The sequence below is a fragment of the Homo sapiens genome, chromosome 1, assembly GCF_000001405.40.
Source record: "Homo sapiens chromosome 1, GRCh38.p14 Primary Assembly".
Taxonomy (NCBI): Eukaryota; Metazoa; Chordata; class Mammalia; order Primates; family Hominidae; genus Homo; species Homo sapiens.
The window spans coordinates 245,458,628-245,473,510 of record NC_000001.11 but is presented as its reverse complement, the minus strand read 5'-3'; the positions used below and the strand labels follow the sequence as shown (position 1 = coordinate 245,473,510).

Here is a 14,883-nt window from a genome sequence, read left to right as displayed (position 1 = left end):
TCCATATAGTGCAGAATATAGAATTCAGCCTCTTTTGTCGATGGGGGCACACTCGCCTAGCTTGCCACACCAGGAATGTCACCAACACATTCAAATGGCAATGACAGGCATCGGTTGTAAACCTTAATGTCTAATGTGTACCAAGCCAAGATCATGAACATTTAAAGCTTTCAGGTAAATCAGAAACATCAATTAAGAAATTGAAAACCATGAGACCATATAAAAGACACATCACGAAACCACTGCATACTAGCCCTCCAAAACAAAGGCGTTTGCAGCTAACCTTTGGTCAGAGGGTCTTTATTGAGCAAGTCAAAGGAGACCATGGTGATCCACACCTGCTCCCTCAGCTTATTCTCTTACTCTTGACACCTCTACATTTTCCCACAGGTCTTGACTGTATTGATTTGCCAGTGTTCTCTTATTGTTTACAGATTGTTCATTTTCCCTAAATAAAGGGTAAGTTGCACGAGACAGAGAGCAGAGTCCTAAGTGAACAACACACTGCTGTCTACACAGAAAGCAAATGACCAGGCTTGGTGATTTTCATCTCAACAGAAAACAATTCTTGCACACCTACCTCTTGGCTACATTAGGTAAATAACTTTGTGCCCAGTCTGGGGGAGCCCACTGTTTAGAGAAAGAGACAGACACATAAATGATCATTTCAGTAGCACATTGTAGGTCCATGCAGGCCTGGGGAACCCTCCTGACCCAGCCCAAGGGGCTCAGGGAGGTTGCTTGGAAGAGCCATGGCCTTGAAAAGTAAGAAGGAGTTCACTGGAGTTATCCGAGGGCAACAAGGTGAAGTGAGCCAGAGAAAGACGGCCAACCACGGCAGCCACTTATTTCTCTCTCAAATCTCTTTGGAGGGAAAATACTACATAAGATCACTATTGTTAGCATACCGGTTGAAGATCCCTAACCCAAAATGCTCCAGAATCCAAAACTTTTTAAGCACCAGCATGATGCTCAAAGAGAATGCTCACTGCAGCATTCAGGACTTCAGATTTTCATTTTAGGGTGCTCACTTGATAAATATAAGTACAGTAGAAATATTTCCAAACCCCCCAAAATTCAAAATCCAAGACACCTCTGGTTTCAAGTGTTCTGAATAAGGGATATTTCAGATATTACTCAACCTGTAATAAAGTTCTAAAAGCCAAGAGTCCACTGGTGAAGGTTTTACAAGCAGGCCAATGAATACATCCATTCACTCATTTATTCCTCAATAAATACGTGGTGAGAACCTCCCACGGGCAAGGCGCTGTGTGTTTCTGTACGTCTCACATAAGTGGAGACAGGCCTGGTGCTCTCCCTCTAGATCTTTGCCTGGCTGGTTCCCATCACAGCTTTTTGACTGGCAGGTATTTTCTGGCTTGTTTATTGTCTATATCCCTCTATCAGAATGTAAGATCTGACTGGGCGCAGTGGCTCACGCCTGTAATCCCAGCACTTTGAGAAGCCGAGGTGGGCGGATCATCTGAGGTCAGGAGCTTGAGACCAGCCTGGCCAACATGGTGAAACCCCATCTCTACTAAAAATACAAAAACTAGCTGGGTGTGGTGGCGGGCGCCTGTAATCTCAGCTACTCGGGAGGCTGAGGCAGGAGAATCACTTGAACCCGGGAGGTGGAGGTTGCAGTGAGCCGAGATCGTGCCATTGCACTCCAGCCTGGGAGACAAGAGCAAAATTCCATTTCAAAAAAAAAAAAAAGTAAGATCTAAGAGAGCAGGGGGCTTGTCTTTATTGCTCTATTATACTGAAGCACCTGGAATCATGCCAAGCACAGGCTCAATGAATGAATTGATTAATATGTATATTATATATCCAGAGAGAAAACGCCGACATACAGCTCTAAGAGATATAGAGATCTGTATGACAAGAAGTCACTCATGAGTACGTTTTTATTAATTTAATAGAACATATTATTGTGCAGTAAAATAAAACTTTTCTATTGGATAAATATATTGAAAACACTGTAACAGCAGTTGTCAACATAATTGTGACTTTTGTCTTAACTTCTATATCTTTATAGGTGTCTTTTAGTCATCTAGAGTTAAAAACATAACTATCAGGCCAGGTGTGGTAGCTCACACCTGTAATCCCAGCACTTTGGGAGGCCGAGGTGGGTGGATCACCTGAGGTCAGGAGTTCAAGACCAGCCTGGCCGACATGATGAAACCCCGTCTCTACTATAAATACAATAAAAATTAGCTGGGCGTGGTGGTGCATGCCTGTAATCCCAGCTACTCGGGAGGCCAAGGCAGGAGAACTGCACGAACCTGGGAGGTGGAGGTTGCAGTGAGCCGAGATGGTGCCACTGTACTCCAGTCTAGGTGACAGGGCAAAACTCCTTCTCAAATATATATATATATACACACACACACACACATACTATCAAAATCTAAATAATAGGCTCAACTTTGGTAATCATTTTTACACTGTTCTGCTTGAATATACGACAATAAATGTAGAAGCCAAAATAACAATGGCTTTGGCTCTCTAGAAAATGCTTCCAGCTAAACAAGATCAGAACCCATCTGAAAATTCTTGAGTCAGTCATCAAGTAAAATATATACTATATACCTATGAGAGGAGAGAGAGAGAGAATATGAAATTGATGAAATTGTACTAGGGAGTCCAGAAGGAAATGAGCATCTGAAAGCTACATAGAGATGATTTCAAATTATGCACGAATAGGCAGGGAATTCCGAAGCCTAGCACGATGGCCTTCTTGTCCTTCAGGAGACACAGAGCAAAGACAGGGGTCAAAGTGGTGGCCGGGCGTGGTGGCTCACGCCTGTAATCCCAGCACTTTGGGAGGCCGAGGCGGGCAGATCACAAGGTCAGGAGATGGAGACCATCCTGGCTAACTCGGTGAAACCCTGTCTCTACTAAAAATACAAAAAATTAGCCGGGCGTGGTGGCGGGTGCCTGTGGTCCCAGCTACTCGGGAGGCTGAGGCAGGAGAATGGCGTGAACCCGGGAGGCGGAGCTTGCAGTGAGCCGAGATCGCACCACTGCACTCCAGCCTGGGCGACAGAGTGAGACTCCATCTCAAAAACAAAAACAAAAACAAAGTGGCATTATGCTTCAGAAAAATGGTTTTTCCAAGCAGTGACTGTTTTGCCACCCCTTGCCAATTCTTCCTTTGTAACTTGAATCCACTGCTTTCTTTTCATGTCCACCCGATCCAGATTCTCAGTAACTCCAATCTAGATGATTGTGACAGCCTAGTTCGCCTCCCTTCTGCCTAACACACGAGCACTACCAGGCCCCTGGCACTTAAAATCCTTCAGGGAACTCCCCCTGCCCTTAGAATCTAAGTCTGGGTGTCAACGTCACCTCCAATCAGACCCATCTTCCCAACACGTCCTCTAGCTGAGCAAACCAAACTGAACAATCAGTGTGTGTGGCTCGGAACACCCTCCCATTACTCAGGTTTGTCTGAATCCTATCGGTTCTTTCAAGGCCTACGTCAAACCCCATTTCTCCCCCGAGACTCCCGCCAACCAACTCTGATCTACTGTGACCTCCGGTTTCTTTGAACTCCCATAGAATTCCCTTCCAGTACCACTCATTTGGCATGAATCCATAGACTGCTTTCTGCACCTGTTTAATTGTGCAATCAGAGACTAGATTGTATCCTCCTTACAGACCACAGGTAGGGAGGAAAAATGTTTTGATTAATGGTTTAAGTGAGCTGGGTTTGGGATGTGTTGCAATAGGGCTCTAAGTTGTCCATTTCTTTAAAATAAATAGTGACAATTACATTCAATCAAGGATAGACAGAAGTATACGTTTTTATCAGTTTGTGTGGCAGTTTTTAAAAGGTTTGGGTGATACAAAAGCCACTTGAAGAGGCTACCAGATACTCTTAGCTGTGCTTAGCCCCACCTGGAATTCAGGTAACCACAGAAAGCATGGTTTCGTCCTGGAGTGAAGGATAACTGATTAAGCCAGGATAGCTCTCACTATAGGTAGGGAACATTAATAATACATATTAAATATTAATAATACATACTATATGCCTGACAACTATGCCAATCAGTTCTGCTACCTATAACCCCCATCTTTTTTTATAATGGATACCACTGAAGAAAACTGAACCACAAAATCTCTACATTAAAGCCAGTTAATGGCTTGATTTTAATTGAGATGAGAGGCAAGACCATTTCAAGTCAAGGCAGCTCATCCCTGCCTGACATTCTCCCCTGAGTGACGCTGTTTCTCTGGATGCCACAGTGCAGGAGTGCATGACATTCTCCCCAAGTGACGCTGTTTCTCTGGATGCCACAGTGCAGGAGTGCAGTAGGAAGACTCCAGGTAATGTTTGTACGTGAGACTCTGGCGTTTTTGCTCCAGCCATGCTGGTAGGGAACAAGGGAGGTCATTTACGTTGCAGCCAGAGGCCAGTTGAGGAGGGACTCTTAGCAGAGCCACCCTTCTCTTTCTACCGCAGCTGATGTTAAAACACAAAACCACAAAAATACAACATACATACATATACATGAATATATATTGTGTGTAAATATTTAAAAATACATACACACAAGGTATGTGTGTATATATATTTGCATTTAAAAATAATTACTTTAGCAAGTAGTTTCACTTGCTGAAGGAATAAGAAGTATTTCCCATGCAAGAACCCTTAATTTAACAGTCCAGATGCAAACTGCTAAAAGAGCATAGCGAGGGGGAAAGAAAACACTCCAGATCGAGTTTTACTGGCAGTTCTACTGCCGGACGTTATAACTTTATAATAAAGAGAAATGTCACTCAATTCAATAACAAAGCCCCTCCCTCACCTCTCTCTCTCTCTCTCTCTCTCTAAGATGTAAGTATTTCAGACAATAATTTCTCAGCCCAAATTCCCTCTTTTGGCTAACAGCTCCCTTCTTCTCAGCAAAGGCTTTCTTATTTTTCTGTTCTTTTCTTTAACCTCTTCAGGTTCTCATAAAAATCACAAATGACTCCTGGGACATTGTGCAATGGTTCCATTCTTGGAAGAGTGAAATGCTACTACCGTGACAGGCTGCTGCCTGCTCTATAAAAAGGATGCCTGAAATAAGGTAATTACCTCTTTTGTGATGAGAGTGAAGGGAAGAGAATCCTCAGAGGCAATGAGGTGTCTGGGAAGGGGACAGAGAGGGCGTAGATATTCTCCCTCCCTCTCCTTCTCCAAACCAATGACCCCCCTCTGTCTGGTTCCATGTCAGCAATTAAGGAAAAGTGGTTTATGGTAACTCTGTAGTGTTGTGTTTTCCATCTAAGAGTCACTGGAGAATGGGTTCTTATGGAAGATAAAAATAGTCTTACGATGGATAAGCATGGCTGGAAGGTGGAAATGAAGTTGGTTTAAAAGTTTCTGATCATTCCAAATCATTAGAAAGAAATTTAAAGAATTCTGGGTTAGTGTTCCCCATCCCCACCCCCACCCTGCTTTCTGGGAAAGTTCAAAGGAATAGGAGGCCATAGATCAAAGAGCAAATGCTTCAGGGGTGTTCAACCTGGCTCTCACCAAAGGGCCTAGATCTAACACATGATTTAAACCATTATTAAAGGCAGAGACTGCTGTGTGTGAAGGCCACTGCCAACCCCCCAACCCCCACTTTTTTTTTTTATGACTCTGTTGCCCAGGCTGGAATGCAGTGGCAAGATCTCAGCTCACTGCAACCTCCACCTCCTGGGTTCAAGTGATTCTCCTGCCTCAGCCTCCCTAGTAGCTGGGATTACAGGCACACACCGCCATGGCCAACTAATTTTTGTATTTTTAGTAGAGATGGGGTTTCACCATGTTGGCCAGGCTGGTCTCAAACTCCTGACCTCAAGTGATCCGCCCACCTCAGCCTCCCAAAGTGCTGAGATTACAGGCATGAGCCACCGCGCCCGGCCTCCAACCATGTTTAAACCAGACTAATTAAAATATCAGACTGGTGGGGCCCATTAGGAATTCAGATCCAGAGATTTCCATCTACCAGCAGAGAGGGGAAGAGCTGAGACTTGGAGGGCTCTTTTTGTTTGCAGTCACTCCAGAACCAAACACTGACGGGCTTCACTGATAGAAGAAGACCCTTTTCTCCAGGAACCAGATTTTCATCTCAAACTCTCAGGGCAACAAAACCAGAATTTTCAAGAAATGAAGAATATCAGGCACCACTGCCTGGAAATGTTCCATGAAGAAGCATCTGAATGGGATGAGACCGAAACACAGAATAAAGAGCTCGCATCATCTTGGTGCCACTTTTTTCCTCATCCTTTTATCCCACCACATTGGGGGTATAAATGCCTAAGAGTTAACAGGATTTATTTTATTATGGAATGTTCAAAAACGTTGATGTTCTAGGTGAATCCTCAGTTCCAAATGTCCAAAGTCCAAAGCTCCCTGACTTCCAATCTTATAGTGTTGAGCAAAAACAGCCATTTTTAGCATCTGGTTGGACCCAAGACCTTGAGTGACTTTATTATCTAGCTGAATGCAAAAATAAGGCTGAGGTTAGACGGGCCTTCTTCTCGAAGTGAGTGTCATTCATTTAAGAAACCAGAAAGTTTTTGTGTTTTTCTTTTTGTTGGTTTGTCTTTCTTTTTGAGATGGAGTCTGTTGCCCAGGCTGGAGTGCGGTGGCGCCATCTCAGCTCACGGCAACCTCTGTCCCCTGGGTTCAAGCAATTCTCGTGCCGCAGCCTCCCAAGTAGCTGGGATTACAGGCACTCACCACCACGCCCTGCTAATTTTTGTATTTTTAGTGGAGACAGGGTTTCACCATGTTGGCCAGGCTGGTCTCGAACTCCTGACCTGAAGTGATCCACCTGCTTTGGCCTCCTAAAGTGCTGGGATTACAGGCGTGAGCCACCACGCCCAGCCGGAACCAGAGAGTTTTTAAAGCATGCATGTGAAAAGGCAGTCAAGTATTTAAGTCAAGATCCTCACAACTGTCTGCCCACACATTCCCCTTTCTTTCAAAAGAACAAGTAAAAAGGAAAACGTTTGTCATTGAAAATCTTTTCTTTCCTTCCTACAGCTGCTTTGATTTACCTTGTAAATCCCAGCCACACATTCTGCTTTAGATAGCCCTCATTTTCAACACTCTCTTAAAATAACTTCGGGTTGCAGCCTCCTTCACCAGATCCTTTCTTCTTCTGGACTTACTTGCTCCCTTGAGACAGAGAAACAAGAAAAGAAGCGTCTGCTTGCTGGACATCTGACCTGGGAGCCGGCGTGCAGGCCATTTGTTCACTCAGCTGTTACAGACTTAAAGGAGAGCACAAACCCCAGGATTTTTTATCAGGAGGGAAACAAACAAACAAACAAACAAACAAACATTCCCATCGATCTAAATCAGACTCTTACTCTACAGTCTGGTCCAGAGACTGGCTAAAAGGGGTATATGGATCCCCTGAAAACATATGCCACATTTGGTGTGTTTGGGCATTTTTCTGAGCAGCAGGGCCCACTGTTTTCATGAGATGCTCGTACTGTGCGCCTTCTATGAACACTTGCCCGTCCAGGTCCACTCTTCAATCTCTCTACTCTGCTCTGCGCCAGGAGGCAGACGGATGCAAGCTGCCTCGACAGGCTTCCTTCTGGCTTCAGGATGGGCTCAGCCCTTGGAGAGCGCAGAAGGAGATGGGAGAGGACAGGGCACTTGTCCTCCTGGCTCCTGTCCCATGATGCCTCTCAGCTGATGCTCCCGGGTCCTCCCTCTCGGGGTGGTGGTCGTGGCTTCCCCTCCTGCCCTCAGGCCTCCCCAGCGGCTGGCAGGAGCACTGCGCACCACGGCTTGCCTGCACCTGCGACAGCTTTTGTAAACAGTCCTTTCCAAAAACTCTCCGTTAGACGCAGCGCGCCATCCGCTTTCTGCCAGGACCCCAGGGATATTCGAGGAGTTGGTGACTCTAGAGAGCTGTGAATATCTACGTGCTAAAGGCACCTGTGTAAATGGGAAGGAAACGGAACACAGAGGAAAGCAAAAACCGGAAAGATACTTTCTCCGTGGCTCTTTCCATCCTTTGGTCGATAGAATCTCTCTAAGCCGTGCCTTTAAGTGAACCCCAAGCAGGAGGCATGGGGGCTCCTGCCTGAGCAGTGATGCTTTTCCCCCTCCCCTGGTCACGAGCTTAGGTGATGGGGCAACCGCCTCTCACCAGCAGCTCCCTCATCTCTCACCCAGGAGACTGCAGCGGGAACAGTCCCCACCCACAGGCGGCTGGAGGAAGAAATGAGGCAATGGGTCCGGGCGCGGTGGCTCACGCCTGTGATCCCAGCACTTTGGGAGGCCGAGGCGGGCGGATCACGAGGTCAGGAGATGGAGACCATCCTGGCCAACATGGGGAAACCCCGTCTCTACTAAAAATACAAAAAATTAGCCGGGTGTGGTGGCGGGCGCCTGTAGTCCCAGCTGCTCGGGAGGCTGAGGCAGGAGAATGGCGTGAACCCGGGAGGCGGAGCTTGCAGTGAGCCGAGATCGCGCCCCTGCACTCCAGCCTGGGCGACAGAGTGAGACTCAGTCTCAAAAAAAAAAAAAAAGGCATGAGGTAACACAGGTAATCTGCGGCTGGGTGCCCGGGCAGCCTGCAGCAGTGTCCACGTGGCTCCTGTGCATTCGAACCCCGGCCTCTGGCTCTGCACATAGCTGCTGCCCTCTGCTCACTGCTCTCTGCTCACAATTGATTAGTGACCTGGTTTGGACATGACTTGCCAGATTTCATGTCAGTGTCCCTCCACGACACAACTTCAACTGTCTGTCTTCTGGACTCTGGTACCACAACCTCAGTCCAGTCAAAAACACCGTGTGCCAGACGCTTGCACACACATGCACATACTCACACATGCACACACCCACACACACACACGCACACCCACACACACGGTGCCAAACATGCACACACCCACACACCCACACGCACAGCACACACCCACACACGTGCACACACACCCACACACCCACACAGGAACACACCCACGCACACCCACACACATGGTGCCACACATCCACACATGCACACGCCCACACACACCCACGGGCACACACCCCCACACGCGCACGCACACATACACACCCACACACCCAGACATGCACACACCCACACACACCCCCACATACGCACACACCCACACACACACACCTACACACACCCACACACGCACACACCCACAGATGCACACACGTGCTCACTGGGTCGGGGGACGGGACACACATTACCTAGGTCTGGGCCATCCTCTCCTGAGACATCGACTCACCCCTCACTGCTATTAAAACAATTCAGAATAGTCAGGTCTTTGATGGGTCTTCAATGGGTTAGCAGTAGCCATGTTTGGAATCAGAGACCAGCATATTTTTTGAACATGCATTCATTTTAAGCTCTTGATGTTTATCTCATAGTGTTTGACTTGGGCTCCTCTCAGAAACACAGGAACTGGTAGAAGTTTGAAGAAAGACTAGAAAGGGTGGGGATGGCATGATTAAATGTGGGCAAAGTCTGTGCACGTTTTCCAGAGGAGGAGGAGGAGGTGATGGTTTTGAAAGCTCTGTGGCAAAGCGGCAATAAAATACCACTAATTAAGGAATGAATCATCAGGACAAAATCATTACGGGGAAGCCTTAGGTGAAAAACCTCACAAGTATTCCCAAGTAGAAAGTAGCTGAAAGGGACTTGTCTCTGAAATGTTTATACGCAATGAAATCCTACATTCACCCACCAACAGTTTCCTGTAATCAAGTTAAACTAAACTCATACAACACAAATCAGTTCTTTTTCCATGTCCTCTTACACCTTGAATCACAATCCAGACGGGCTTTGGTGGCCCTGGAGATGGACAAACAGCAGCTGCACCACAGGACAGCAGGCAATAGGCGGGACTCACCAGTCGTGGGACAAGTGGGTATTAAGTAACTTCAGTAACCATTGACTGCAAAGTCCCAGGAAGTGTGTGCGGAGCTGACCTCTGCACTTCCCAACGATCCAAATACTTTCATGTCCATAGCTCCATTCTGCCACTCTCTGGAGCATTCTCACCCCCAGCTGCCCTTTCCCACCAGGAAAAAAGAAAACCCGTCATGGTACGGATGTATATCCAGGGGAGACACAAGATGTCATGGGAGGTTCCCATGGGAGGTTCACAGGATTTGAAGGACGGCCACACCATTGCATGAATCCTGGTTCTGCCACTTCTTAGCCATGAGATCTGGCAAGTAGCTTAACCTCCCTGAGCCACAGGTCCCTTGTCTATATAACTGCAGTGATAATCCCTACCTAGTGGGATTGACGTGAGGATTGGCTAAGGTGATGCATGCAGCAGATTGAGCACCACGGCTGAAGGGCGGCCGGGAGCACTCTTACTTACCTGTACTGGCACACAAATGGGTGGTGAGTGCTGTTCCTACCAGGCCGGTCGAAGAAGCAGGTTCTCTTCTGAGAAGGACACCGTTGAGAAAGTGTGGGTGGAGGACAGAGGGAATCTCAGCAGTCATTGGACCCACCTCATACTGTGTGCTATCCACTTACCCATTCTGCCAAATTTCTGTGTGTGCATCTCGTAGGAAGCCTTGTCTCCACAACCTGAGCACAAACTGGGCAGAAGTTGTCTCTGCATCTCCCAGAGCCTGCCTGCCTCTTCAGGTCTTATTCATTCATTCATTCATTCATTCATTCATTCATTCACACTGATTTCTTCACAGGAGGTTGTTCAGGGCAAGGATGGAGGGCACAGCCTCTAAAGTCAGTCCACCTGGAGCCCAAATCCCAGCTCTGGCAACTTTTGGCAACTAACTTCATATTCTGTGCCTCATCTCCCTCAATGGTTACTGTGAGCACAAAACAAGAGTGCCTGTAAAGTGCTCAGTAACAGGGGAACGGACACTTGGGAGTACCTGATACAGGGTGGCTGTCATCGCTAACACGGTGGGTACCCGGTGAATACACAGTGAAGATGCTACTAAAGGAATCCATTGCTGTGACAGTCACTTCCTCCCAGGACAGTCACTGTCTCCTGCTCCACAAAGGAGTAACCTATTTCTGGCTTTGATTTGCTGGCTGATAAATACTCAGTAATGTAAACTATGCCCAGTCTAAATGCGCTAGGAAGTCACTGCAAAACTCGACTTTAGCACATTGTAGATGAACTTTTCAAAAGCCTCCTCTGGGGCAAACACTACGCGTGCATATGTAATGGCGGCATTCTTTCCACATGTCTCGAAGCCATCCCCTGTGATTCGGATTTTCACATAACACCCTCCATTCTCAATGGAATTTCTGAGGAATGAGGTCAACTCATGGAGTTTTGCAAAATCCTTCCACCATTACCAGTCAAAATCTCCTGCCTTCAAGATGCCTAAACTTACATTTCTTCTTCTTTTTTTCATTTTTTAATTTTTTTTCTTTTTCTGAGACAGGGTCTCTCTCCATTGCCAAGGCTGGAGTGCAGTGGTACAATCATAGCTCACTTGTAACCTCAAACTCCTGGCCTCCTGCCTCAGCCTCCTGAGTACCTGGGACTACAGGCATGCACCACCATGCCTGGCTAATTTTAATTTCTCCTTCTCCTTCTTCTTTTTTTGGTAAAGACAGGGTCTCACCATGTTGCCAGGGCTGGTCTCAAACTTCTAGCCTCAGGCAGTCCTCCAGGCTCAGCCTCTCTAAAGGCTGGGATTACTGGCATGAGTCACCATGCCCGGCCTAAAATTAAGTGTCAGAGGCAATAGTGGAAACGATATCTGCATTCTGTCGGCAATTAAAATACTATTCTTGTCTGAAGAGAGTGCGCTGCTTAGCCATTCTTGCAGCCAACACTTCGGAGACCACAGGTGCCCTGGAAGATGCAACATAGAGCTCTCAGCTTCCCCGAGAACCACAGGGCAGCATCCCCGGGGAAGCTCTGATGGGTCCTGGTGAAGGATGGTGCAGCTGGAGGTGATGGGAGCAAAGGATGGACATTAATTTATTTCCTCCTCAGTGGGTTTCTCTCAACAAACGACCCTGCCCTGCTGTCAGATGGGCACTGTGACATGCCACTGCATGCTTGCAGGACACGTGATGAGCGGATCTAATTAGTTATAAGATTGGGAAAACCATGGTGGGGTGCAATCGTAATCCTAGCTACCTGGGAGGCTGAGGTGGGGGCATTGCTTGGGCCTGGGAGGTCAAGGCTGCAGTGAGCCCTGCACTCTTGCTGGGGTGACAGAGAGAGACCCTGAAAAAAAAAAAGATAAAAATTGGGAAAACTGAGCTGACTTTAAGAGAAAGCAGAAGCAGAATCAGTCTGGATTCTACCACGTCAGCCCTAGGTCACCCAGGCTTCTCAACAGAGTCCCCACATGTTGTTTTGGAATTTGAGGTAAGAATATGTTTTCTTCCAGGACTGCTTCACCTCCAGAGGGAAGGCAACTATCAGAGGCTTCATGTCCTCACTGAAAAGCCAGGCTCTTGGTTTCCACTCAGCTTCTCTCACGAGAATGGAAGGAAGATTACACCCCAGAACGCCTGTGCTGGGTCCTCTGCAGCCCTCCCAGGGACAGTGAGTTGTTTCCCCTAGCTCTCCATCAGCCTCACTCCTTACTATTTGTTTTCGGTCACTATTTGCATATCAGGCAGAATCCTTTCCCATCTTTGCACCTCCTGTTCTGAGCATGGCATGTGTGCAGAAGCTTTCCAGAAAAGTCTGTTGATTTGAACCATGATGGCCAAAATAACTCTGGACAGGGTGGCACCGTTTTGAGCTGCGTGTAAGCACACATGTGTGCAGGTGCACATACCCACACCGATACACGGGCATGCACACCACGGCCTGAGGTCCTCTGCCGCTGGAAGAAAAGGCAGGTTGGCATCTGTCATCGTTGCATTTCTTTGACAAAACATCAACCTTCTTCTCACAACTTTTCTTTGCCAAGTGACTTTTCAAGGACCTTCCCAAACTGACATCTCTGAAATCTTTCTTTTTCTGTACTCTAAGGGGTGGGCGAACTTTCTGCAAAGGCTAGGGTGGTAAATATTTTAAACTATATGGTCTCTGTCCAACTTCTCAACTCCTGCATCGTATCACAAAAGCAGCCACAGACAGCCTGTAAAAAATGGGGGTGGCTGTGTTACAAGGAAACATTACCAAAACAGGGGACTCCAGGCTGGATTTGACCCTTGGACCACATTTTGCAATCTCTGATTTAAGAGAAAAATGACCCAGAGAAGAGAAGATGTGCTAATTCTGGAAAAACAAAAACAAAAACAAAACAAAAAAAACAAACCTCTGGGCCAGGCGTGGTGGCTCACGCCTGTAATCCCAGCACTTTGGGAGGCCGAGGTGGGCAGATCACCTGAGGTCAGGAGTTTGAGACAGCCCGACCAACATGGTGAAACCCTGTCTCTATTAAAAATACAAAAATTAGCCAGGCACTTGTAATCTCAGCTGCTAGGAGGCTGAGGCAGGAGAATCACTTGAACCTGGGAGACAGAGGTTGTAGTGAGACGATACCATGCCACTGCACTCCAGCCTAGATGATAGAGCGAGACTGTCTCAAAAAGAAAAAACAAACAAACAAAAAACACTCTGAAAGTCATCTAGAGCCTTTCTTGACTTCCTAATTCTATCTTAGGCTGCAGGCAGGGAAAAAAAAAAAAGGTTTATGAGGAGGAGAGATCTTGAATCATGATTTTTCAGTGGGTGGCAACCTGAATCACAGGTGCACATTTCAGAGACTTTCATCCTTTTCTGTGCCACCACTGAGAGAAGAAGCCTAGCTCCAGGTCTGCACTATTGGGTTTTTATCCACTTTTGTGCCTCTGTTTTTGCTGCTTGAGAACTTAGTTCTCCCAGTTCAGGTGACCCCAAAGTGCCCGTTCACTCCTTCACTGACACAGCCAACCCTGAGATTCTTCACACCTCGGTCATACCACCCGCACATCCCACCCTGTCTTCCTAGTGACAAACAGCAGCTGGCACACAGGTGGCTATGTAGGCCACACCAGTGCAGTCTTAAGGAAGGTATAAAGGATTTGACTGTGTTGACTGTTTCTTTCAATACAAAATAGATAAGGCTGAACACAGGTAAGATCATGGAAAGCTGGAACTGCAACCCCTGGTCTGCAGGCAGGTTAGAAAGATTCCAAAAAACAAAATCGGGTGGGGATAGAAGAGGAGTTACAGGCCCACCCTGAAAAAAATAAAACCAAAAGAGGGGAGACAGGTAGACAGCTGGACCTACCAGAAACAGTAGTGATTAGACTGCTTCATTTTGTGTTTTTCCAGCACACAGGATAGAAATAATGGGCTGTTTGCAAACAAAATGCAGAAACTGGAAATGCTCAACCTAAAGCTATAATTAGTGTGTCAGTGCTGTGTGTCTGTGATATGTGCACAAAGAGAAATGCATTCCTGCTGAAGGGACTTCCTCTTCCACCTCTGTCTTCTCTTTGCAAAATTGGCTTGAATCACAGGAGGCAAGGGGAAGTAAGTCTGCAGTAAGTCCTTTGGTAAGCCTGACTCATGACATGCTCCTATCTACTGAGCTGTAAGACCATGAAACGTTTTATCACCAACTGTTCCAAACATTGATGCAAGTAATAACCCCAACAAAATTATAGCGTGGGGAGATTTAATTCTATGCCCTTATTTGTAGGCTAAGGACGCTAACATCTCTCCTAACTGGGCTCACGTCATATTTGATGAATGTTCAAACATGAGTGTACCAGTAGCATTTTCTCTGAAATTGCAGTGATTACTCATTAGTAAATGAGGGCCCTTGGGCAAAGAATCTGGTCAGAAGACTGAGTCCCGTGTTACCAACAGATGCAGGAAATTAATCCGGAAAGTTTGGTACTTAGAATGGGGATTAAAGTGCTGCAATTAACATGTACATGTACAAGATTACATCCATTACTACTCCTAAAA

General features: G+C 46.7%; 1 protein-coding gene across 1 annotated transcript in view, besides 2 other annotated features; it reads right to left on the bottom strand.

Moving 5' to 3' along the window:
- KIF26B (kinesin family member 26B) overlaps nucleotides 1-14,883 on the bottom strand; it is a 554,448-nt gene that overhangs the window by 235,922 nt on the left and 303,643 nt on the right. The gene's annotated exons all lie outside the window — the stretch shown is intronic.
- Nucleotides 4,797-5,996: an enhancer, noted in NCBI's record as "BRD4-independent group 4 enhancer chr1:245630817-245632016 (GRCh37/hg19 assembly coordinates)". NCBI's record gives its function as "activates an origin of replication core promoter dependent on BRD2, P300/CBP, MED14 and CDK7 cofactors, and independent of BRD4, by STARR-seq in HCT116 cells {active_cell/tissue: HCT116}" and the evidence as "EXISTENCE:reporter gene assay evidence [ECO:0000049][PMID:35650434]".
- Nucleotides 6,749-7,250: an enhancer, noted in NCBI's record as "NANOG hESC enhancer chr1:245629563-245630064 (GRCh37/hg19 assembly coordinates)". NCBI's record gives its function as "activates a minimal SCP1, AML or CMV promoter by ChIP-STARR-seq in naive H9 embryonic stem cells {active_cell/tissue: H9 hESC(naive)}" and the evidence as "EXISTENCE:reporter gene assay evidence [ECO:0000049][PMID:30033119]".